Genomic DNA, 25,758 nt, shown 5'->3' with positions numbered 1-25,758 from the left:
CCAAATTTCCCTGCTCAAATGCCCTGAGAATTCTAAATCAAACCTTTTCCTCCAGGTGATTAAGTGGGCACATTTGTCAAGGTAGGAATATAGGATACATGTTGTCTGTGCATATTACCTTGAGTTATAACTTCCTGATATAATGCCCTGTGGCTTGTGGGCTGTCATTTGTATTTTTCCCAGGCTTTTCAAATGGATGCACAGGTCTACAACTGTTACTTATATGAACGTTATACTTTTGAAACAATATGGTAAGAATATTACTGAATTTGTGTCATTTTTTGATTCAGAAACATCAGGATACAGATTAAATGCCAAACATTCATCTCTCTCTACATGTTTTGAATGTAGGCTTTTAGTGGTTACTGAGGCCCTATTTGTGTAAGGAAAACAATGTGGTTGATTTATTTTCCCTAAATTTAGAGTTATTTAAAAATTAGAATTTGCAGCAGTTATATTGAGTGCTTGTTAGAAGATGCACATGAGACCAGGCGCGGTGGCTCATGCCTGTAATCCCAGCACTTTGGGAGGCCAAGGTGGGTGGATCACAAGGTCAGGAGATCGAGACCATCCCGGCTAACACGGTGAAACCCCATCTCTACTAAAAATACAAAAAATTAGCTGGGCGTGGTGGCTGACACCTGTAGTCCTAGCTACTCAGGAGGCTGAGGCAGGAGAATGGCATGAACCCGGGAGGCGGAGCTTGTAGTGAGCCAAGATCGCGCCACTGCACTCCAGCCTGGGTGATAGAGTGAGACTCCATCTCAAAAAAAAAAAAAAATAAGATGCACGTGAATGCAATCATGGAGACACATTGAGTGTACACTTAACACTTGTATCAGTCTGTTTTCACACTGCTGATAAAGACATACCTGAGACTGGTAATTTATAAATAAAAAGAGGTTTAATAGACTCACAGTTCTATGTGGCTGGGGAGGCCTCACAATCATGGTGGAAGATGAAAGTCCCATCTTACATGGTGGCAGGCAAGAGAGAGTGGGAGCCAAGTGAAAGGGGTTTCTCCTTATAAAACCATCAGATCTCATGAGAATTATTCACTACCACAAGAACAGTATGGGGGAACCACCCGCATGATTCAGTTATCTCCCACTGGGTCCCATGGGAGATACAATTCAAGATGAAATTTGGGTGAGGACACAGCTAAACCATGTCAACACTCAATACAATAAACACCATTAATATAGTATTGGGGGAACGTGCCCCCAGTATTTCAACGTAGGTTCTATTTTCCATAAGTGTCAGCTGGCTGAGAAATAAAGAGAAACAGTACAAAGAGAAGAATTTTACAGCTGGGCTGCCGGGGGTGACATTACATATCAGTAGGACCGTGATGCCCACCTGAGCCATAAAGCCAGCAAGTTTTATTAAGGATTTCAAAAGGGGAAGGGGTACAAGAACAGGGAGTAGGTCACAAGATCACATACTTCAAAGGGCAAAAAGGAGAACAAAGATCACATGCTTCTGAGGAAACAGGACAAGGACGAAATCAGAAACTCCTGATAAGGGTCCAAAAAAGATCACAAGGCAAAGGGCAAAAGCAAAGATCATAAGGCAAAGGGCAAAAGCAGAATTACTGATAAGGGTCTGTGTTCAGCGGTGCATGTGTTGTCTTGATAAACATCTTAAACAACAGAAAACAGGGTTTGAAAGCAGAGAACCGGTCTGACCCCAAATTTACCAGGGTGGAGTTTCCCAATCCTAGTAAGCCTGAGGGTACTGCAGGAGACCAGGGCGTATTTCAGTCCTTATCTCAACCACATAAGACAGACACTCCCGGAGAAGCTGTTTATAGACCTCCCTGCAGGAATGCAATTCTTTCCCCATAGTATTAATATCAATATTCCTTTCTAGGAAAAGAATTTAGCAATATCTTCCCTACTTGCATGTCCGTTTATAGGCTCTCTGCAAGAAGAAAAATATGGCTCTTTTTGCTCGACCCCACAGGCAGTCAGACCTTATGGTTGTCTTCCCTTGTTCCCTAAAATCACTGTTATTTTGTTCTTTTGCAAGGTGCACTGATTTCATATTGTTCAAACGCACATGTTTTACAATCAATTTATACAGTTAACACAATTATCACAGGGTCCTGAGGTGACGTACATCCTCAGCTTACGAAGATAACAGGATTAAGAGATTAAAGTAAGACAGGTGTAAGAAATTATAAGAGTATTATTTAGGAAGTGATAAATGTCCATGAAATCTTCACAATTTATGTTCCGCTGCCGCGGCTCCAGCCAGTCCCTCTGTTTGGGGTCCCTGACTTCCTGCAACAATATGGGGCTGAAGATTTTTTAAAAACCATGATTGCAGAGTCTGCTAAAAGTTGAAGATTTTAATTTACTCTGCTGGTTTACAGCATCAGAAAATCCAATATCGCATGAGGCTTAGTAGATCAGAACTACATCAGGCCATGCTTGTAAAGGGAATGCACATTCTACTCTTTTTTTTTTTTTTTTTGAGACAAGAGTTTTGCTCTTGTTGCCCAGGCTGGAGTGCAATGGCGTGATCTTAGCTCACTGCAACCTCCACCTGCCGGGTTCAAGCAATTCTCCTGCCTCAGCCTCCTGAGTAGCTGGGATTACAGGCACGTGCCACCACACTCGGCTAATTTTTTTGGTATTTTTAGTAGAGACAAGGTTTCACCATGTTGGCCAAACTGGTCTTGAACTCCTGACCTTAGGTGATCCACCTGCCTCAGCACATTCTACTCTGAATGAACTCTAAATCAGAATTGGTCTCATCTTTTTCAAGGAAATTTAGCATAAGACCTAATAAAAAATACTGTTGAACAAGTGAAAGATATTGCCACCCTGAAGACTTAGAGGACAAGCACACATCCCTGAAATAAATATTCTAGAATCCTGAAAAAATGTATGTAGAAATTGGTATCCACAATGTGATGCTAGAAAGTAACCTCTCATGAAACAGTGAATGGAGGCCATAAGAGAAAATAAAATTTATTGGAAAACAACGGGATGAGATAAAAAGGGAAATGGATAAAATATGTAAGGACTGCAAGTAAACTACAAACATAATAGCAGAATTAAACTTCACTGTAGAGATCACATTAAATAAAGACAGTGACATAGAATCCCAAACTGATAAGCTTTCCCACAGGAAAATCAAATAAGAAATCAGAATATTGTGAAAGAAGATAATAGATACAGACAACAGAGAATGGAAACCCAAAATAAGCTGTACTCCTGAAAAAGAGGACAAAATAAATGGAACACAAATAATAATCAAATTAATATATGGAAATTTTGTGGAGCTGAAAACATACCTGTATGCAGATGGCAAGTGCCTGATCTACCCCAGTGAAAGAAGACATCTATGCCTAAATAAATGTTAAGAAAACTACTAACTTAGTTAAAAGATAAATAAACATCTTACAAATGTCTAGATACAACTGACAAAAAAGAAAACAAGCAAATAATGCATGAACGAAAATAAGGCTGGTGATATTCTTCTCCTATTGTAACCCTGAAAGTCAGAAGACAATGAAACAATGTCTGCTGAGTATTCAGAGCCTTTCACAAATGAATAAGAGAGAAAGAGATCTTCAGGTATTCACACTGTAAAATTTACTGAAACATATCCAAAATGATTAAGGTATAAGTAAAAATGGATAATTGAAGCATGGGAAAATCATGGTTAAATGGCTAACCATTTTAGGTCTGGAAATAAAGAAGTCACATGTCTAAATAGTTATATTTTTTATTATCTCAAATGTAGATTGGAAGGATATTTGGAAAGAGATGTAATAGAAAATAGCAATTTAGTAACATTTACTCTGCGCTAAAGCCCAAGACTGATTACACTAAATAGCATTTATTGGATTATATGGAGGGAACACTGTTAGAGATACAGAATAGTAAATGCAAACTCCATTAATTCAGCTTAACACAACTTAACCTGCCTCTCAGTTTTTGATAACTCAGGAAGGAAAAGAAAAAACATGGATACAGGGGATCTAAATGATTTAATGAATAAAGTATATTTACTAAATTTCTAATAAACTTTGTACCCTCTTGAGACTTTGTTGTCTTTTCTAGTATCTCTGAATCTTTAGAAATTGATGAAGGAAATGCAAAAAAACTCACAAGTAACAATCCTACAGTCTGCATTCTCTTACCACAATACAATTGAACTAAGACTTTTAAATAAATGTTTAGTAAAAGAAACTTGAAAATGAACAATAACAGTAGCAGCAGCAGTACAGTCCTAGTATGTTAGGGCTTTCGGAATCCTTGTTCCCTATAATCATGGAGTCGCCTCTAGTGTTCTGTGTTTATCATAAAAACAAATCTTGTAGTTATCCACTTGCATATTTTCTTATTCTTTTTTATCCTCTCAGGAGCAGCACAAGAAGAGTTTCTTAAGCTTACCTAAAAGGTGTCCATTTTGGGACCAATAATGATGTAGTTCAAAATCCACTCCTCCTCCTAACACAGCATTTTCAGCATTCTCCAAACATACTTCAATAAACACCAAATAAAAGGGTACAATTTGGAGGGAAGAAGTAGGGATGATTGGAGACACATTATCAAAGAAAAGGACAAATCAACATTCTACCATTTATCTTTCTTCTGGATGGTATCTTCCCCCGCCCCCTTTTTTTTCCTGATATTTTATGGTCTTCAGCATCTGCCTGTTCTTAGTCATCTGCTTGGGCTCTCATAACAAGATACTGTAGACTGGGTGGCTTAAACAACAGAAATTAATTTTCTTATAGTTCTGGAGGCTAGGAAGGCTAAGATTAAGGTGCCAGCCAACTGAGTTTCCGGTGAGGACCCTCTTTCTGTGGCCATCTTCTCATGTTCTCACATGTCCTTTCCCTGGGTATGAGTAGAGAAAGAAAGATTTATCTCCTATAAGGTCACCAGTTCTATCAGATTATAACCCCATCTTCATGACCTCATTTAATCTTAATTATCTTCTAAAAGCCTATCATCAAAAACAGATACATTGGAGGTTAGGGCTTCAACATATGAATTTTGTGGAGACACAATTCAGTCCATTATAAGCAAATATCAAAATTGCCTAATTTCTTAGGATGCTGGTCCAGACCAATTGCATCCAAATTCCATAAAATGATGGCTGTTCCATGAAAGCTGAATGAAAACCAGAACAATTCTCAAAGAGAGACCAGAAGCAGGGGAAAGGTAGGCCTAGTCAGTTCCACAGGGTCCTGGAACCACCATACTAACCCATTTTACTTTTACAATGTTATTAACGAAAGTAGAGAGCAGGCATTTATTTATTAATTTATACTTTTAATTGTTTAAAATAGTATAAAAACATTAGGGGAAAAGCTCTAAAAGCTAAACTTGGTAAAGGGCTCCAAGTACCATTATGATGGTCAATCTTTTAACAATGGGATGAAATAGTTTAGTATTATTCATGACTCTAGGATGGTCATTCTTGATAGAAAATAAATTGACTTTCAAAGTCATTCAACAAAGTTACGAATAATTTCATGATATTAGACTGATATTTACATGGGAATTTCTCCACTCAAATGAGAATGATATACTCTAAACATTTGTTTCATTTTTAAAATGAAGTTTGAAGAAAAGATAAGAGTTAGGGGTGGAAATGATACTTTGGCCAACTTCAAAGTTCCTGAGAAAGATTGTCTAATTCTGAAGATTAGTTGGGCAAAATATTTTTGACTTCTGAAACAACTGGTTACTCTTTCTTTTAAATGTTAATGTTACAGAAAATTTTCAGTGGCTGAGAAGACTAAAAGTTGCTATCTGAGGGGCAGATATGATTGATTTAATAAGATTTATGAATGATCTGATATCTAAATACCTTGAAAAAGTGAATAGTGATACACGAACAAAAAAAGTTTTAAAAAATATCACACTGAGTTCTTACTAAGCTCTTACTAAGAATTCTTAAAGTTTTTTCGTTGATAGTTTAACAAATATCAGGAAAGAATGCTACTCATAATAGCTACAAGGTTCATTAGTTACAGATGAAGGCCAGAATGACTATTAAGCCAATCATTATGAATCTGCTTGTGAAAAGAGAAGAAAACGAAAGAAGATAATCAGTGAACAAACTAAACAACAAACAAAAAATTCAGTTGGTATGAAATTACTGAAAATCCCAGAGGGTCTCATTATCATTTGACATAAATTATCACTCACAAACTGTTTAACAAAGGACTGCTAAAATGAGCATTTGTCTTTGTTTGCAAATGAAATTAGAATTTTGTGAAAGGATGCTATAAATCTCAGGGTTAGAGAAGTAAGGAAAGTTTTCAAACACGAAAGCTGTGTTTTTTAATCATTTGTATTTTATGGTGTGTGTGTGTCTATGTGTGTGTATGAGATAATTGCATAGGTTATTTGGTGGTTAAAGAGCTTTGGTTTTTAATTGCATTAGTTATTTTGTAGGAGCTGAAGTATGTTGTAAGGGCAGATTGGTTAGGAATTGCTCCGGGTTTTCATGATGTAATAATTAGCGCCCAGGATTCCAATTTCTCCATTCAAAATGAGAGGTTTAGACCTAGATGATTTTCAAGGTCTTTTAGGGAGCACAGAGTCTATGGTTACTCAACTACTCATTGTGCTTCCTATTCCTTAACAGAGCCCTTGACTCTATTTCCCCTGCAAACTCAATGAGAAGCCATTAAAAGTGCTGTCTTGGGGTTCTAGGCGTATGTCTCAACCATGCACGAAAGCAATGATGCTCCAAGGACATTTGTCTGTCAGAGCACAGCAAGGTCAGAATTGTCTACTAAGTCCCCCAAGGCCTGCTGTGTCTGGTATGTTACCAGACACAGCTCTTAACATCTCTATCTAATAATAGATCTTTGATTTTTGTTTTTGAAGCCACAATGCATAACTTTTTTTTTTAAACCCTGAATGACAAGAGTTTTCCTTACACTAAAGTAAAATGTGTTTTACATTTTATTGTGTTGGCATTGGTCCAAATTAAATAATCTGGTAAAATCATTAAAGGAATTTAAGACTTCAAGTTCTGTCTTTCATTGTTCCTTCTCTGTGAGTAAACTTTACCACCTAAAAGAGCTTGTTTTTAAGAGAGTTTATTTGGGTTCAAAAAGTGTTGATTATTATATAGCCTTGTTGCTTAACTGCACATCTTGTCGTATGTTTTACTTTTTCCCCCTCTATCCCAACATCTCCCTTCCTGTCGAATCTTAAATGAATGGTGACTATTCCGTCATTCCCTTTTTTCCTGGTCCAACATAGCTTCTCACAAACAAGCCCAGAGGCATGATAAGGATATTTTATCTTTAAACTGTTGTGACTTTTCTTTTGTATGCTAAAATCTAGCAGAAACACAGGGCTAGAGTTACATGGAAAAATAATCTTTCCAGGCCTAATGGAAATAACTTCTTGTCCATAGAGCTGTGAGTGAGTTGTGGATGAGAAATAGAATTATTCTCATCAAACTTACACATTGCAATTTAACATTTCAACAATGATCTGTATATGAATATGCCTCATTTATGTCTTCCAGGTTGTGATAGTATAGTCGATGATGAACTACTGTCACCGGATAGATAGGAGGGTGTGGAAATAGAGTTTCATATGATCCTAATTGTATTCTTTTTGTTTGTTTGTTTTTTTCTGCAGCTATGTGGTATCTTGATCCTAGCATTAGCAATATGGGTACGAGTAAGCAATGACTCTCAAGCAGTAAGTATGCAAAAACAAGTCACCCTTTCCCCAATGTAGTTTATTTCATTTATAATAATGAAAGTTATAACAATAATAGTAATAAACATGTCTAAAACATTTTTCTTAACTGCTTCATGTAATCACTTGTGCTGTTATGTGATTTTATAATTCAGTTCAATCAATTAAAATTACTATGTGGCTGGCACTGTGCTAGATGTGGAAAAATCTTTCTAGAGAATGGAGGAGGTGTTATTCAAAAATTCAAAAAAATTCAGTGAGATGCAGGTGGGAAGGGGCCAAAGTGGAAATTTTCCTCCTTTACTATTTGTTTAAGGCCTATATTGAGGATATAGGCCACCTCTCCTTCTCACCAAGAAGAATAATTTTTATAGTAGAAGGTTTTGACAATAATTTAGTTGATCCCAATGTGGTTGGTCCAAAAGGAAAGAAAATGAGAAGTTTTCTTGGAGAAGAATAATTTGAATCTGTATTTTAAAGGCAACAAGGTACAAGGGTACTTGTTATTTACCTGTGGCAACTGGCAGTGAAGGTAACCACTTGCCAGTAGTGGCTAATCTAACTTGGTGAAACTCAGTAATTCTCTGGGGATGTCCAGATTATTGCTATATGTATAAGATGAACATGACCCATTTTCCTCCCCCACACACCATTCCGTGCCCAGTGCCAAAGCTCTTACCCAGATCTACAGGTCTGGAGGAAGTGTATTTCGTATGGTTAATTCTGGCTCCAGCTATTGGACCCCATACGTGTGGTATCTGTTCCATGCCACAGTATCACAAATGTGGAAAGGGTTGGGGGAAGAGGGAGGGGCGAGTGTGCGGGGATTGTTCTGTCAGTTTTACGGAACATAATACCACCCTGGCACCATTTCCTGGCTCCCGTGCTTTTATTCTTTTCTCTCCCTTCTTCTATTCTGGGGCTCCATCCCCACAAATTATTATTCTAACACATTCAGAGCCATTAATTTGTTCTTTGTTTTCTGGGCTCTTGCCACTAAAGGATCACCTCTTCTACTGCTAGAGCCTTTTTAAGGTATTTGCCCACATAAAGAGAGTTTCTCCTCTCTGAGAAGAATTTTGATTCCAAGTTGATAATTACTGAGAGATTTATTAAGCCAGCAATTAAGACAATGCATTTTCTACTAAAACGTATTTCACCATGGTGCAGCTAAATGCCTTTGAACACAGCCTAGTGGAAAGGAAGATGAAAAGGGAATTAATGTCTGCTCTGTTTTCTTCGCTGCAGTGGGTGGCTTTTCTGAAAATTTCTTTCTCACTCTATCTCTGTTTTTTTTTTTTTTGTTTTTTTCCTCTCTCTCTCTCCTGTTGTTCTTTTCCTTTTAAAATTGCTTTCTGCCCTTAGGGAGCCCAGAGGATCACAGTGGCAATTAGCGGCTTCCACATTCTGTGCCTCACCATGGTGAAGAAATTGGGTGGGAGATGGGTGTGGCAGCTTTTTAGTAACATCCTAGTCCATCAGGATTTCACTTATTGTTTTCTACTGATAACCATAACTGTGACTTCCTGATGGCCTGGAGCTCTGGTGTGTGAGCCCAAGAAGTGCATTTGAAGATGTGCAGAATTACCATCCTGTAGAATCTGAAGTCTGACTTTGGGACTCATAATTAAGCACAGAGATTAACAGTCACCTACTTACAGGGTGCTGTGGCCTCTTCAAGATGTGTGTGTAGCCTGCAATTTATTTTATTTTAATTTTACTTCCTGTTGGTATTTTCTTTCCCTCCCAGTGCTTCTGGTAAACAAATTTGGTGTTTAGTCTGTTAAAAAATTGCACATATTGAATGTATTAAAGGGGAACTGTTGTCCTTGAGAGGGTGCTCCTCCACATCTGGGGATAAGAATGAATTAATAGAGCTAGACAGCATCTTTAGTTACGTTTTGACTCACGCTTCATCAGCCTCTCACACTGAACAAAAGCCAGTGTCTGCCAGGACAACATTAACCAGCTTGACTTATATAAAATTGGCTTGGTTTATATTTTTCTCAAGCCAGTGACAAAGAATCAAGACAGAGCAAAGAGCTGAATTTTTTGTTAGTGAAAAAACAGAGGTAGCTGTTTTGGAAGGAAAAACATGAGCATAAACACAGAAAAGAAGGATGTCAGGGAAATGACAGAACTTTCTGCTGAAGTGTCTCATGAAGACCCTTTTTTCTACCTCAGGATAAACTTAGCACCATGAGGAAAAGCACATGAGCAGCCATCCTTGTCCCAGGAGGTCCCTTCTGATCCAAAGAGGATTCCTGAGTCCTCATCTTTCAGGACCAGCTGAATTTCTCTGTCTTTAGAAATTCTCCCCTTGTCCTAAGACACACAGGGACACAGTGTTCATTCAAGACAGCTTTTCAAACCCTGCTGTTCCTCCCCTGGTGCAAACATCTGAACTCAGATTTCCACTTCATTCTTGAATAAGAATAACCACTTGTTGGGCTGGACTTGGAACAATGACCACTAGACAGTCAACACACTGCTTTCTGGCTAGTCTCTGGCAGTGGGTCACCCTGCCCAGGTTAGCCTCATAGAAGTGTCTCACTACCTGCTGCACAAGTGCTGGTCACACTATCTTGGCCTCATGTGTAGATATTTGAACTATTATTTGTATGTCTGGCATATCTTTTCTAAGTTCTGATAACCCAGCTAGCGAGGCTTCCATCCTCTCATAGGGTTTGCCTGTACTGGCCACAATATTCTAGTGAAGCAATATTTAGCAGGAAGTCCATAGAGCTAGTTTCCTAACACTTCTATTTTTGTCACATTTATTTTGATTCCAATGTCCTGCCTGTTTATTAACAAAACTGATTTTTTAGCTCTAATATTAATGAGAAAACAATAAAAACCAACAAACAAAAATCTTTAGGACTTAACCAAGCTTTCAAAATACGTAAATTGAAACATTATCTGTAAGCATAGACTTTTAGAGACAAAGGAGGCCTTGGCTATCACAGAGGTTGACCCAATTCCCTTTTATAAATGGGGAAACTGGAGCCCACTAGGTTGGGTGACTGTTCCAGGATTACAAACTTATTTATTAGGACCCTGACAAAATATAGATGTTTGTTTTAATGCTTTTATAACTTCAGCACATTCCTTCCTATTGACTGTTGAATAAAAGTTTCCTCTAGGCAATAAGTAGATTTAAAAAGCCTTGAGAAACAAAAATATCATTAGAACATAGCAGTCATTTTTGTATTGACTGTTAAGGGAGCTGACCTACATGCTATATAGCCCATTCTGGGAGGCAGAGGTTTCGAGTTAGTCTAGGAACTAGTGCTCTATCTAGAGACAGCCCAGTAGATAGAGGTTATAGAAGGCAAATGGGCTACATATAGGATTTATGCATAAGACACGCACAAGGCTTTACTTTTTAATTGTGATTTACTTCTGGATAAATCCACTTATCGAGGACAAGAGGTGGCTGAGGCTAAGTGTTATGAGGGTGATGAAGACGAGTATGTGTGTGTTGTTGGGAGAACTGAATTATGCCTGATGGGTAGCCCACCCACTATAAAGGGCTCTAGGATTTTTTTTCCCTTCATATCTCATTAACTAACAGTCAAAATAGAGTTTCTAGATGACTCTATGGACTATGGCTTTTGGGAACAAAGAGATAAAATAGATATGAAATATCAGGAACTGGATTTCTTTTTAATGAGGATACAAAGCATTTTTATTAACCCATGGAAGTTCCCTCATGTCCCTTTTCAGTTAACTCTTGCTTTCCCTTCTGCCTTGCTCAAAGTCAAGCACTGCTTTGATTTTTATAACCATAGTTTTGCTTATGATTGAACTTTATAGAAATGGAATCATACAGTATTTACTTTTTTCTATGGCTTCTTTAGCTCAGCATAATGACTCTGAAATTAATTCATATTGTTGTGTCTATCAATAGTTTAAAGAGCTTGAACTTTTTAAAGAATTAAAAACCATAACAACACATGCTTTTATAATGCACTTTATATAGAATACACAAAATATGTGAACCAAAGATTACATCAAGAAGAGTAAAAGTAACTGTCCTAAGCTTTTAAAAATACGGTTTAAAAAAACCTATTACATTTCTTCCACCCAGCTTTCATCATATCATTTTAGAAAAATATAAGCACTTCAATAGAATGTGAGCTCCATGAGGGCAAGGATTTGTACTTTTTAAGATCACTGATGTATTTCAGGGTCCTGGCACAGGACTTGACACATAGGAGGCACTCAATGGATATTTGTTGAATGAGCAAAATAAACTTCAAGGAAATAAATTTTCTGCCATTAATCTCTTTTTTACTTCAGATTTTTGGTTCTGAAGATGTAGGCTCTAGCTCCTACGTTGCTGTGGACATATTGATTGCTGTAGGTGCCATCATCATGATTCTGGGCTTCCTGGGATGCTGCGGTGCTATAAAAGAAAGTCGCTGCATGCTTCTGTTGGTGAGTTCTCCAAACAAATCCCAGTGTCCAACCTTCAGACTCCAGAGGATTCTCTCCCATCCCTATTGTCTGTTAAAAGAACGTGCCATGATTGATGAAACTCTAACTCCAACTTCTCTTTAGAAGGTTTGATTGTGGAAGCTGATATGGCTTAGATTTGGCTTAGTTTGGCTTAGAAACTGGAGGATACTCTGAGAGGAGACAAATTTTAATCATTCATCCATTCATTCATTCACTCATTCAACATTACTGCCATACCTCTATGTGTCAGATATTGTGCGAAATAATACATAAGACCTTTAGAACCTACTAGGGAAGGTTAATAAGTAAGCAAATAGCTACAGTGGGAGTGGCCCCAGAAGCAAAGGGCAAGACAGGGGATGGGATTTTCAAACCAGGGCAGAAGTGAATAAGGTATTTGTATGAGTGAGGGTAGGAAAAGCTTTCCGGAAAGACAACGTGGCAGTACAGTGCTGGTGTGTTTGGGAACTGAGAAGCCTTGGGTATGGCAGGAGACCGGCAAAACTGTTTCCAGTAAATGATGGAAGATGAATCCAAGTGTGGGTTGTGGTAAAATCATAGGTGTTCTACATGCCATGCTAAAAAAAAAGTTTAAATGAATGAGATAATCAGAATTATCTCTTAGAGAGCATTGAGGAGGATAAATTGGGTTTGGATAATTCACAGGCATTCACTTTTAACATATACAGTAGAAAATGGATATAGTAAAAATATTAGAAAAAAATCAAGTGTTTATCAGATACAAATATGACATAAAAGTTTATCAGGTCTAATCTAAACTTATTCCTCTAATAAAGTAAGGATTATATCAGTACCTGAGAAAAATGTTCAAAACTGTTTGTTTATTGTGAGGGACGGTAGAGACAGAGTTTTAAAGGGACTCTAATAACATTCCTACTGATTGCTTTTTGAACAATAAGGCCTCATTTGCAATTGAAGAATTTAATTACTCAAGGAGCTTGTTTAAAAAAAAAGCTAATTGTCTTTGGGCTGCATCCTTCAAACTTATGATTCAGCATATCTGAAGCCGATTTCAGGAATCTATATATGTAACAAGATGCCAGGTGATTCTGAATGTAGTGGAGATGCTGTTTCAAAGCCAATTCTGAGTTTGTGTGAGGTTGTGTTTGATGAAGAAAGGGAAGGAGTAAAATAATACTCAAATAAACTCATCTAAGTTTTCAAACTTCCCTCTAGTCAATATCATACAGATATCAATGGTTGTTTTGATAATTTTTTTGCCTGAACCACTTTCCTCGATCAGTCTCTGGAGCAATTTTCTGAGTAGTAATGAACCCAAAATTTTCAGCTTGAAGTAAAAAGTGGAATAAATGAAGAGTGTGACTGACACTCTCACTGTGATATAATCCCAGCTGTAGAGAGAAGTGCTGTGCCAGAATGTCCCCAGATGTTACTGAATGCACTGAGGATAATGTATATTTCTTTTTCTCTTCTTCAGTTTTTCATAGGCTTGCTTCTGATCCTGCTCCTGCAGGTGGCGACAGGTATCCTAGGAGCTGTTTTCAAATCTAAGGTGTGTGCACAGATGTTTGAAAATTTTGAAGAAGTTTGAAAAATTGAAATACTACCTTGTGGCGTGAATAATGTAAAATACTTTTCAATTTTCAGTCTGATCGCATTGTGAATGAAACTCTCTATGAAAACACAAAGCTTTTGAGCGCCACAGGGGAAAGTGAAAAACAATTCCAGGAAGCCATAATTGTGTTTCAAGAAGAGGTAATTAGAATTCATTGTTCATTTTAAAGAGTTGGACATAGTTCTTCTGTGTTTGTTTAGTTTTTAACATCTTCCTTAAAGATTGAAAAATGTCTCCATTTTGCAGATTTTGATTGATTATTCTGTCACCATGCAATAAGAAAAATCTAAGATATTTGTAATTACTTTCTCGCTTCATACAAAGTTCTGAAGCAGTTTTGAAGGAGAGAAATTAAGAAGATACATTTATGACAGGTTAAGCCTCGAATGAGTCAAATCAATAATAGTTTTAATATTTTCCATTTACCATTTAAAAGGGTAGTGTGTCTGGGAATCTCCTCTCTTTCTCTCTCTCTCCCCCTTTTTTTTGGGGGGGGACAGAGTCTTGCTCTGTCACCCAGGCTGGAGTGCAGTGGTGCAATCTTGGCTCGCTGCAACCTCTGCCTCCCGGGTTCAACTGATTCTCCTGTCTCAGCCTCCTGAGTAGCTGAGACTACAGACATGCGCCACCACGCCCGGCTCATTTTTTGTATTTTTAGTAGAGACAGAGTCTCACCATGTTGGTAAGGTTGGTCTTGAACTCCTGACCTCAGGTGATCCACCCGCCTTAGCCTCCCAAAGTGCTGGGATTACAGAGGTGAGCCACCGCACATGGCCTCTCTCTCTTCTTTTTAAAAAATAATTAATTATTTTGAGGACAAGGTCTTGCTGTGTCACTCAGCCTGGAGTGCAGTAGTATAATCATAGCTCACTGCAATTTTGACCACCAGGGCTCAAGAGATCTTCCCACCTCAGGTTCCTGAGTAGTTAGGACCACAAGCACACACCACCATGCCTGGCTACCTTTTAAAAAATTATCATTTTTGTAGAGAGAGGGGTCTTACTATGTTGCCTAGACTGGTCTCAAATTCCTGACCTCAAGTGATCCTCCTGCCTTGGCCTCCCAAATTGCTGGGATTGCAAGCGTGAGCAACCACATCCACCTCTCTTTTTTTCTTTCTCAGCCTCCACCACTTCTCTGTCTCATAAAAATGGTAATAGCTAACATTAATTGCTACTATGTAGCAGGTGTTATATCCAGTAGCTCATTTAATACCCACAACAACCCTGTGGATGGGTAATATCATTATCCTCATTAACCCTATTTTACAGATAAGGATATTGGGTTTTAGGGAGGTCTAACAGCTACCAAGTGATGGGTTGGAATTTGAACCCAGATCTGTCTGACCAGTCTGTTATTTTTTAAATCAGTATACTATCCCCTCCTTTTTTCTTTAAAGTCAAAATATGGGTAGGCATTGAAGGTCTTCTACTCTCTGGATCCTACCTAATATTTTAACTTTACTAAGTACTACTCTCTAAAGAGTAAACTCTAGTCCAGCCAGGTTTGTGTACTCAGGGTCCCTTGAACAACTGCCTTCCTGCCTTTGCATCAGTTTCCATCCTTGGAGTGCTCTTACTACTTTTTCCTTCTGAATATATGCATGTCATGGAAATTCACAGAATCTTAGGAGAGGCTTGAATTTTATAGGTCACTTAATCTGACTTCTCACTGATAAACATATTTTATATTTATGGTCATCTACCCTCAAATGAAATATTAAAGAGGTGAAAGTTTACTAATTTTTGCCCATCCTGCTTATATGCAAGTCTGATGATTAGTATGTTATTTCTTAATTTGAAACAAAATCTGCCTCCCTAGGATTTACATTATTTAGTACTAGTTTTTCCAGAGTTTCAGAGGAAAAAAAATTATTGATGCTTTTATATATGATAGATTTTTCTTTGAGAATGGCTATTGTTCGACTCCTAAAATCCTTGCTTTTCAAGTGGAAACATCCTTGGTTTCTCAAACTTTTTATCAGGTGACTTTTTTTTTTCTCCCTCAGAGCATTCACTAGTTCCTATTTGGGTAGATGCCAGCTTGTAAAAATTGTGCTTAAAGCATCATTTCCGAAAGCTGAAACCTGATATGGGTCAGTCCCTGTTTAACTTCCTTTCTGATGTGCTTTTCCTAGCTCCCCTGTAGCTGCATCCTTTGACTCTCTTCTTTCCGGGATCATTCTTACTCTAGAGCCCAGCTTAAAACAGGCTTAAAGAAGGAAGAATTTATGCAGCCTCAGTACCTCTGCTGGGTGGGGCTGAGCATCCCAGACCCTTCCCAGGGTGATGACCTAGGACAAAATAGACTAGAGGTAATCACTGAGCCTCTGGTTTGGGTCCTAGTAACATCTGCTGCACGTATCCCTGGATTCAAGGTCTCCATGCCAATCCTGGGTTTCTAAATGTGCTGTTTGTTGTAGCATGTTCTCCTGAAGTGCTCTTGCTCTTGTAAAGAAATCCTGTGCCTGAAGTTCCTTGTGTTCCTAGGACTATATTTCTTCAAATTTCCATTATGAGTCTTCTTCTTCTCCTCCTTCTTCTCCTTCTTTCCTTCTCCTTCCCCTTCTCCTCCTTCTCCTCCTCCTTCTTCCTTTTCTTCTCCTCCGCCTCCCCTTCTTCTTTTTTCTCCTGCTTCTTCTGCTGATTCTTTTTCTTCCTCCTCCTCTTGTTTTCCTCCTGCTCTCCCTTCTTGTCCCCCCTTCTCCTCCTCCTCCTCCTCCTTCTTCTTCTTCTTTCTCCTCCTTCTTCCTCCTCCTCCTTCTCCTCTTCCCTGTGCCACCTCCCCCTCCCCCTCCTCCTTCTTCTTCTTCTTCCTTCTCCTCCTCCTCTTCTTACCTCCTCCTCCTCCTCCTCCTCCTCCTTCTTCTTCCTCCTCCTCCTCCTCATCCTTATCCTCCTCCTCCATCTCCACTATGCTTTCTTTTATAAGTTATGCTTCTTTGGGAAAAGAATCCTACCACCACAAACTCTGGCTGGATGACCTGGAGTCCCATAACACATTGACAAAAGCTACAGATGCTGAGTGGCTTTCTCTTTGGATTTCAGGGATTTCCCGCACAAATTCCCTGTTAACATACTGATGGAATGCACCCCTTTCGGATTCTTGCTCATTATTATTTGTCTAGAGGCGTTGTATCATTAGTGCCTACTGCCTTTTTCATCCAGCTGTTACACCACTGTCAACAAGTCCTGACCAGCTTCTTCTTTAACTGCTCTTATCTCTGATGTAGTGACTTGATATCGTGACAAGTTTTAACCTTCCTAACTTCTACCCTCTCATCTATGAGTATGACTTTATGCCTCCCTAAGGAGTCCTGAGGTCTACAATATTCCAAATATGAACCGATCTGTAAATGAGAATATAAATTTTATAGTGGAATTTAATTTACATTTGACAGAGGGTATCTGTATCAGTGAATACTACTCAAGATTATGTAATCAGAAAGAATAAACAATTAATCATGTCTACCATGGGAACAGGAAAGGAGGTTGTTTCAAGAGCACCCTCCTTGCTAGTACTGACCTTGAAACAAACTGAAATTTCCAGCTCTTTGTCATATAAACATCTGTTGAGTAATGTTTTTGTGTAACTCAGTCTTTGGACATAAGTACAAGACTTCGTATCTGCCTCAGTTGAATTTGTTAGTTTATCTCTGTTATTTGAACTATCTTTGAAATTTGACTCTGATCTCCAGCATATTAATTGTCATTCCTAGCTCTACAGAAACTACAGAATTGGAAAGATATTTTTTTCTATTTATTCAAATCATTGATAACAATGCTGAACAGATCATGTTCCTGTGAGAGCATGACAGAAACAACACCAACAGCAAACAATGAAAACAAAAACAATAAAAGCAAATGCATTATTGAGTGCTTTCTTCAACCTGGGAGTTCTTATCTTTACATGGATTTTCTTATGTTTATCTTTATGATAAATCTGCAAATTAAATGCTATTATTAGCAACTGTTACTATCTGTATTTTACAGATGAACAAACTTTGGCACAGAGGTTAAACTAATGTGTAATAAATGATTTTATTACACATTTATTATTAATGTAATAAATAAATTTAATGATTACCTGCCCAGTAAGTGAAAATTCTTTCAATATCTTGGCATTGCAATGTATCAGAGCTGGGAAAACCACTCAGTCTTGGTTCTGTTTTTCTCAGCCATTTTTTTTTCCTCCCATTTCTGCACGAAGTGTTTTCCCCTTAATTGAGCAGATGGAAGCAACATGAGGGATAATTATCTTTCTTTCTCCCATCTAATAATATCATGTGCCACATGCCCTGATTCTTGGGGTTATCATTTCCTTGTTTTTCTTCCTCAAATGTGGCTGCAAACCCTCTTTTTTAGTGTTTTCCATGGATCAGTTTATTCTGGGACTGTAACTTTCCTGACATTCTAAGAGCTTCATTCTTCATTTGTGTTCCCTCCCATATTTTAAAGATGTTCATAAAATTCAATCTTATGGGAGGCTCCTTGAGCATCTATTTGGGTCTTTGCAATATCTCTCATTTTTTTCCTCCTGTCTTTCAAAAGTGATCAGAGATCATGGAGTGGAAATTTCACTTTTAAAACTTCATGTCTCTTTTGAGCAACAATTCTTTGACTCTCTTGTGAATTCTTTGGAAACTTTTTTGACAATATCTAAATTACAGAGATCTGACTCTCTTTTGTCATTAAAAACTAGTAGGTGAGGCTGGGCACCGTGGCTTATGCCTGGAATCCCAGCACTTTGGGAGGCTGAGGTGGACAGATCACGAGGTCAGGAGATTGAGACAATCCTGGCCAACATGGTAAAACGCGGTCTCTGCTAAAAATACAAAAATTAGCTGGGCGTGGTGGTGCAGCATGCCTGTAATCCCAGCTACTCGGGAGGCTGAGGTAGGAGAATCCCTTGAACCAGGGAGTTGGAGGTTGCAGTGAGCCGAGATCGCGTCACTGCACTCCAGCCTGGTGACAGAGCAAGACTCCATCTCAAAAAAATAAAAATAAAAAACCTAGTAGGTGAGTTTTTCATCTTCCCAACTTCTTCAGATTTTTGAGTCTGCAACTCCATTTTTCCATCATTAATGTAAAGATCAAAATGCAAAAATCCTTAATTTTTACTTCTACACAGAGAAAGGTGAAAGGTGACTTACATGGTATTTTAGCATAATAACCTTTAATAATGATTTCAGAAGATTATAATTTAATGTATTGCCAATGTTTTTAATCTTCTTACTGACTGCTTCTCATTCTACCTTTTATCAAACAGTTTAAATGCTGCGGTTTGGTCAATGGAGCTGCTGATTGGGGAAATAATTTTCAACACTATCCTGAATTATGTGCCTGTCTAGATAAGCAGAGACCATGCCAAAGCTATAATGGAAAACAAGTTTACAAAGAGGTGAGAACTAAATCACATTTGGTACAATAAGCAATTCTGTTACTTTCTTTTCACAATTAAAGTCCCTACAAAAAATTAAAATGCATGGAGTACCATGGGAATCATGATATAAAAATCTCAGAAATTTCCCAAATTAAAAAAATCCTTATTTAAAGATAAAAGCAGATAGACTTCATTTCTTCTATGAGTCTGGCATCATTTAAGCCCAATATTAATAGGTCAAAGAAACATTCTACTGCAATGGGAGGCAAAGTACAAACTAACATAAAAGTTTATTTTATCCTCTCTTTGGTCATCTTAATCATTATTCTCTTTTATTTTTTCCTACTTTAACATAAGTTCTAGAAAACAATATTTTCACTACAATTTTCAATGTTTTTTGTTTTCTAATCAAATTTCCTTTTCTCAAGAAATGAGGTTTCTTCTTTCCCAAAATTTAAAGAAAGGACTCCAAGTCCTTCCCAAATACATTTAAGGGTTTAGGTTCTCTATGTTACTGACAGCTACCAATTTACCTAGTTATTGCTGCAATTGAGAAGTTACCTTGAACATTTAATGTCAATTGAAAAAGATAGGTTAATCTTTTATGTGTTGTAGATGTCATATTTATGTGACTTGTGAATGTCAATACATGGATGTCCTAGTTCTTCTTATTGATCAGTTCATCAAATACTTACTGACCACCTCCTATGCGCCAAGCTTTCTACCAGTCACCGGGAATTCATTCCTGAACAGAGCACAATGTCTGCGCTCATGGAGCTGATGCTCAAGTAAGGAAGAGAGAAAGATAGTTAGGCAACTTCAATCCAATGGTCTACTAGTATCTCTTGGATAGAGATGGGTGCAAGGTGTTATGGGACCCCATCTCACTTAGTCTGTGGGGTTCAGGATATGGCTTCATGAAGAACATGACATCTGTCCCTTCATAAGTTGTTCGTTCTGCTTAGAAGAAATGTGTACAAAAATTACAATTGATATTAGTATTTCATTTATTTACTGTTATTCTTCAGTGCCTACTACATGTCAGACAGACCCTTGCTAGGATCAGACATGCTTCTGGATCCTCTAGGAGATTACAATCTAGTTGAGAGGCAGATACATTAAAAACCACTATAAATCACAATGAATTAATATTAATATCTATAATACCCGAAGATTCTTTTCAATCTAGAAATGTTTTGGTTTAGTAACTGCTACTGAAAATAATTTATAAAAGGAAATAGAAAGTATCTCAGGGGAAACTACCCTTTCCTTGACTACTGATCTTTTTCACTGATCTTATCAAAATTAAAGAGGCTCTGCCCTGAAGGGGAATTGCTGTCATTAATACTTAAAGTATGTCGCTAAGATTTAAAGTAACTCAATAAATAATCTACCAGACTACAGGTTATATTGCGTTTTTCATTGTCAAAGTAATATTACTAAAAAAAGTTTGATTCTTACTTTTTATATTCTCCCTGCTCCCCTCCTCCCTACCTAATGTTAGTGACACAGTATTTACAAGGAAAAGGGGAAATAAATATAGAGTAAATAAAAATAGTTTCCACTTAGGATAATGAGGAAATAAGTAAATTCAATTGCAGATTGCTATTTGTCTCCTGTTCAAATTCAACTGAAAGATGTTTTTCCTCAAGACAGATTCTGAAAAGCCCCTGGAATTATTCTAAAAAAACTATTAGATAGTTTCTGTAAGTTCACACATAATTCAGCTGAATATAGGCTGATAGCTACACCAGTTTCCCAAAAGGAAGGTTGTAAATTCATAAAATACTTCCATCTGCCATGTGTCATTTGCAAGAAGTCTGGTAAAATAAAAAATATGGAATGGCCATAATTCACATTTCTTTTTTTTCCTCTTCCTTTTGCCAAGATACCCTCATTATCTTAGGCAAAGAGGAAGAGAAAAACCCCTGAAACATAATGAATGTGACTCAGTAGATATAATCATTAATCTCATTGTTAACCTAAATGACATAATAATTTCCTTGAATGTTTACCACGTTGGGTTAAATGTGAATGAAGAAACTCAATACATTCAGGAATGAAGGGGAAAGATGACTTAGCCTTCTGGAGAAATTTTATTTTATTTAACAAATAGCAATACTTTGTTAGCCCTTTGCACATATATGACCATCAAAGGGATAATATATTTCAGGGCAGTACAAAAATAACACAATTATACTGTGTAGTCTTTTTCCATTTAAAAAATTCTTCACATAATTTACAATTCTTGAAGTTATTAGGTCTAGTCCAAAATGTTTTAAGCATGAAAATGCATCCTGGATTGTATACATTTCAAAAATGTAGCAGAGAGGCAACTTCCTAATTTCTCTTTTTTATCTAAAGTAATGGCATAGTGGTAGACATAGTAAGTTTTTTCTTTTTAAGATAAAAATAACCCTGATAAATATTAAGGGATTTTGAAAATATGTTGTTTTTTCCGGCAGCAGTGACTTCAAGCCTGTTATCCCAGCATTTTCAGAGGCTGAGGCCGGTGGATTGCTTGAGCCCGGGAGTTCAAGACAAGCCTGGGCAATATGGCAAAACCATGTCTTTACAAAACACAACAAAAATTAGCCAGGCATGGTGGCACATGCCTGCAGTCTCAGCTACTTGGGAGGATTAGGTGGGAGGATCACTTGAGCCCAGGAAGTCAAGGCTGCAGTGAGCCAAGATTGCGCCTCTGCACTCCAGCTTCAGCGCTGGAGGGAGACCCTGTCTCAAAGAAAAAAAAAAAAAAAGAAAGAAAGAAAAAAAGAAAATACCTTGTTTTAAAAATGAAAATTTACAATATTATTATCTAAAATCTCAACCAGAAACCTTTCTGTTTTAGATTACAAACCTAAAAAATCCTTAGTCAAGGTGGTATCAGCTCTAAAATGAATAAAGTTAAGATAAAATTATGATTTATACTTTTATGTTGTAAAATATATAGCTTTATCAGCTATAAAATTTATAGTATAAATTATAAAATCTGTCATTTGAGGATATGTTGGTGAAAAATTATTATTTGTAATTATTAATCCCTAGATTCAACAATTAGGCAGTCAAGCAAAATTTTGTTCCTCAATTGCTTTTCAATGTATAAACAAACCACAACAGTTACAACCTTTTGGAGCAAAGGTGAAGCAGGGAGTGGAAGGAATAACCCAGTTCCTTGTCGTTAAGTGTGTTTCTTGATAGCAATGTAAAAAGTCAACCAGATTAATAAAAATTTTGATTAATATAAGGTCGAATTTTTCTGAGAGGTAACTTTTAATGTTTTTTTTTTTTAACAGACCTGTATTTCTTTCATAAAAGACTTCTTGGCAAAAAATTTGATTATAGTTATTGGAATATCATTTGGACTGGCAGTTATTGAGGTACAGTATAATCTTGTATTATTGACTCTTTTATTCCCTTGCTTGTTCATTAATTTCAAGAAATATTGATGGTGAACAAACAAACAGAAAAAAAAAAACCACAACAACCATAAAAAACGCAGATGCTTTAGAAAAGCACTGGATGCTAAAGGCCCATCATCTCCCTCGATCAGCCTGAGTCTGAGGGGGAGATTCCAGTCTTATGAAGTGAGCAGGGTTGAGATTCTTGCTTCTGAATGACCTCTCTACCGGGAAAAAGATAGAATTAATTTTCACATAGTTCTTAGTGCCAGGTATATTTTTCCCACTGAAAACTAGCACAGGGGTTACAGTTTTCCAAAGTTAGAAGAAAAAGCACCAAACAAAGCAAAATACGACCTTTACAATTTCTTATTTCTCATCTTGATTTTGAAACAGAAAATAAAAACTGAACTCAAGAGTGTGAGGAGCTCTTTCTTTGTTACTTATTACATTCTAGAGAAATCCAAGAAGTTCTAAAAAGTAGAGGTAATTGTCTCTGATTTCCTCAGCTTAAGTACTATTGACTCACTTGGAGAAATTTTCAAGGAAAATTGAGGCTTATGTATTACTTTCATCACTTTAATTATTGATGTTGGAAAAATATCCCACATAGGATTTTTGTCTTGATGAACTTTCTTGGCATGTTTTTTTTTTAAAAAAAAAAAAAACCTGAAAGATACTTTTCACATGGCCTAAAAATCTTTGCCAAGAAAATGAATTAAAACTGCTTCAGAGAAGCATTTTGGAATCATCCCAGATCTTGGGTAATTTTAATATCAAGTAGATCAAATTCACTCACAATCCTATTCCAGGGCATTAGCAAGAATGTGAAGTGTCTCCCTGGTTAATGCCTGTGAGAGCTGGTTAGCTCAGCTGAGTGCCTTGTGCTTCACACTCATGGAATGCTGTGCAAGGTACTCCTTGGGCTTTCTGGTAATTTTCTACCTCTTACTCGTGCCACATCACTGCCAGAAAGAAATTTTAACTGGGAATGAAGCAATTTAGTGTCCTAAGTGGTTATTTAGTTTGCTGGTGGAATTTCCCAGGCAGCTATTAGAGAAAGGTTAGGGACTATTAGCAGCAAATTAAACTGTGGGTTATTACTTTCTTGTAGTCCAGATGAATAGGTATAAATATGAAGCATTCTTTGTTGGTAGGTTATGGCTGTCTTTCTTTAGGTCTGATATATGTTCAGAGTCAAATGGTGCTATGGATTAGGTCTATTTCTCTTGATTCTGCATTTTGTAAGATGTATTTTATTTCTCTGCTTTGTATTCTGGGTTTATGCTAATTTAGAAATAAGGACTAATGGCCATGAAGATGAGTAAGAAATGAATGATTTAAATGAATCAAGAGTGATTTTACATGAATGATTTAAGTGAATGAGAGAGCATGCTTTAAATGAGATATTTAATATAAGAGTTATATTTCATGTTAGACTCAAGTTCTGACAATTGACTATCACTAGCTCAAATCACAGATGCTCCTCAGTTAGCAAAACCAGAAAAAGTAAGGACATACTTGATTGGGGAGGTTGATGAAATCCTTTGTGTCATAGTCAAAGGCATTTTCAAGAATTTAAATACATCTAGTGGAAAATAAGATTACAAAAAGATTAATGTATTTCAGTATTTTATGAAATTGTTATATTCCATGTATTAATTACATGTTTAAATATTTTATTTGTTCTTCTAAAGACATATTCAGAGAAAAATAGCTTAATACAAACATTCTATACAGTAATTTATAGGTATGAAGTTTTTGCGTTACTATCATAAAACAGAACCGTTTTTGAATTCGAGAAGTCAAATTAATTGTGATTTCTAGACTCTCTGCAGATATGGTAAATAGTTGGTTCAAATAATTGTTTGAACTTTTTAAAATTGTTCAGTTCCTCAGTCTATAACCTGCCCTCCCTCTTTTTAAGGGAAACAAATCATTTTATATTCCATCTTCCTTTATTCAAAAAGTAGATTGGAAAAGTCTTCTGACACCCAGTCTATAAATTATGTATCCAAAAACAAAGCATTTTATAGCTCATCTTACAGTCATTAGTACAAGTTTCCTATTGCCCTATGACTTAGGCCTATCTCCCTTCTTTGTTTCCAAAGTTCAAATTCAAAAAAACACAAAGATACAGAAACAGAAAATCTCCTCTAAAAAATACTTTTAAGAAAACAGAAGCAAATGTCTTCCTGCAGAAAATATGTTCAGATTATCTCCACAGAAAAATATCATATAAAAAAAGACCGCCCCATATTTAGACCTTATGTTAGTATGTTTAGGCATAGGTTTTAGTGAGGTGGGCCAATATTTGTTTTCAAAGCTATGTTAAGACTATATACCTAAGGGATTCTTCTCACATTGGATGCTAAAGATTGTGCAGAATACCTTATTCTGCAAGAAAAATTTATCTATAGACATTTTTGGAATTCTCATTACTCTAGCTTAAAACAGCCAGACTATCATACTCTCCTCATTTGACTATAACAACTTACAAGCACAAAAGATGATCAGCACTTTCCTTGCTTTAATTAAAAAAAAAAAAGTGCTACACACTGAGAGCCATCACTTTGTAGGATAAAAGTTATCCCAACAGGAGGTCCTAGAAATAAAGCAGTTAAAAGAAAAATGATAATTTTACATTTTTTTAGACTGCTGCATACCTCTTAGCAAATTTATCATGAGTCTTGGCGTACATTATAAAATGACAAATCTCTTTTAATTATGTGCTTTTTTTTGAACAATCATAAATGTTCTTTTCAGGGACAATGAAATACAAGAAAGTGTGATATTAACTATCTAGTCTGCTGATAAATTGACGGCTTCTATTTCAAGGATGTAGCAGTGAAAGATGATAGTTGTCTTATCCCATTATTTTTTCCCCATTAAAAAAATTCTTTCTTGATACTTGTCCCACAGACTTAAGGCTCAGGATCAAGACAAAAAGACTAAATTTCAGTCTTCAATTGTAGCACATTTTGAATGGAAATTATTACTTTTGCAGAGAATTGGTGTCAACCTTTTTAAGAAGGAAGAAAGATTGGTTAGCAGTTCTCATTTGAATTACATTTCCAGGAAAGTGTTAGTAAGCAGAAAGTCTCAACACAGTAGAAGCATTTAAGTTGACTCAGCATAAATGTCACTTTGCCTTCCTCCATCCTCCCTTCAAAAGGGGCTGGTGGGGGAGGAAACTTTCTATTGGTAATGCACACAGGTC

General features: G+C 36.9%; 1 protein-coding gene across 2 annotated transcripts in view; it reads left to right on the top strand.

Moving 5' to 3' along the window:
* The window catches only part of TSPAN8 (tetraspanin 8), a 32,904-nt gene that overhangs the window by 6,152 nt on the left and 994 nt on the right, over positions 1-25,758 (top strand). For both annotated transcript variants that reach the window (NM_004616.3, NM_001369760.1), the window contains 6 exons: positions 7,635-7,697; positions 12,000-12,137; positions 13,618-13,692; positions 13,788-13,895; positions 19,024-19,155; positions 22,434-22,517. In NM_004616.3, coding sequence (NP_004607.1) covers positions 7,635-7,697; positions 12,000-12,137; positions 13,618-13,692; positions 13,788-13,895; positions 19,024-19,155; positions 22,434-22,517 — 600 coding nt within the window. The remainder of the gene's footprint in view (positions 1-7,634; positions 7,698-11,999; positions 12,138-13,617; positions 13,693-13,787; positions 13,896-19,023; positions 19,156-22,433; positions 22,518-25,758) is intronic.

This window comes from Homo sapiens, chromosome 12 (genome assembly GCF_000001405.40).
Source record: "Homo sapiens chromosome 12, GRCh38.p14 Primary Assembly".
Taxonomy (NCBI): Eukaryota; Metazoa; Chordata; class Mammalia; order Primates; family Hominidae; genus Homo; species Homo sapiens.
Note: the sequence above shows the minus strand (reverse complement) of the source record. Positions and strands in the feature narration are given on the sequence as shown.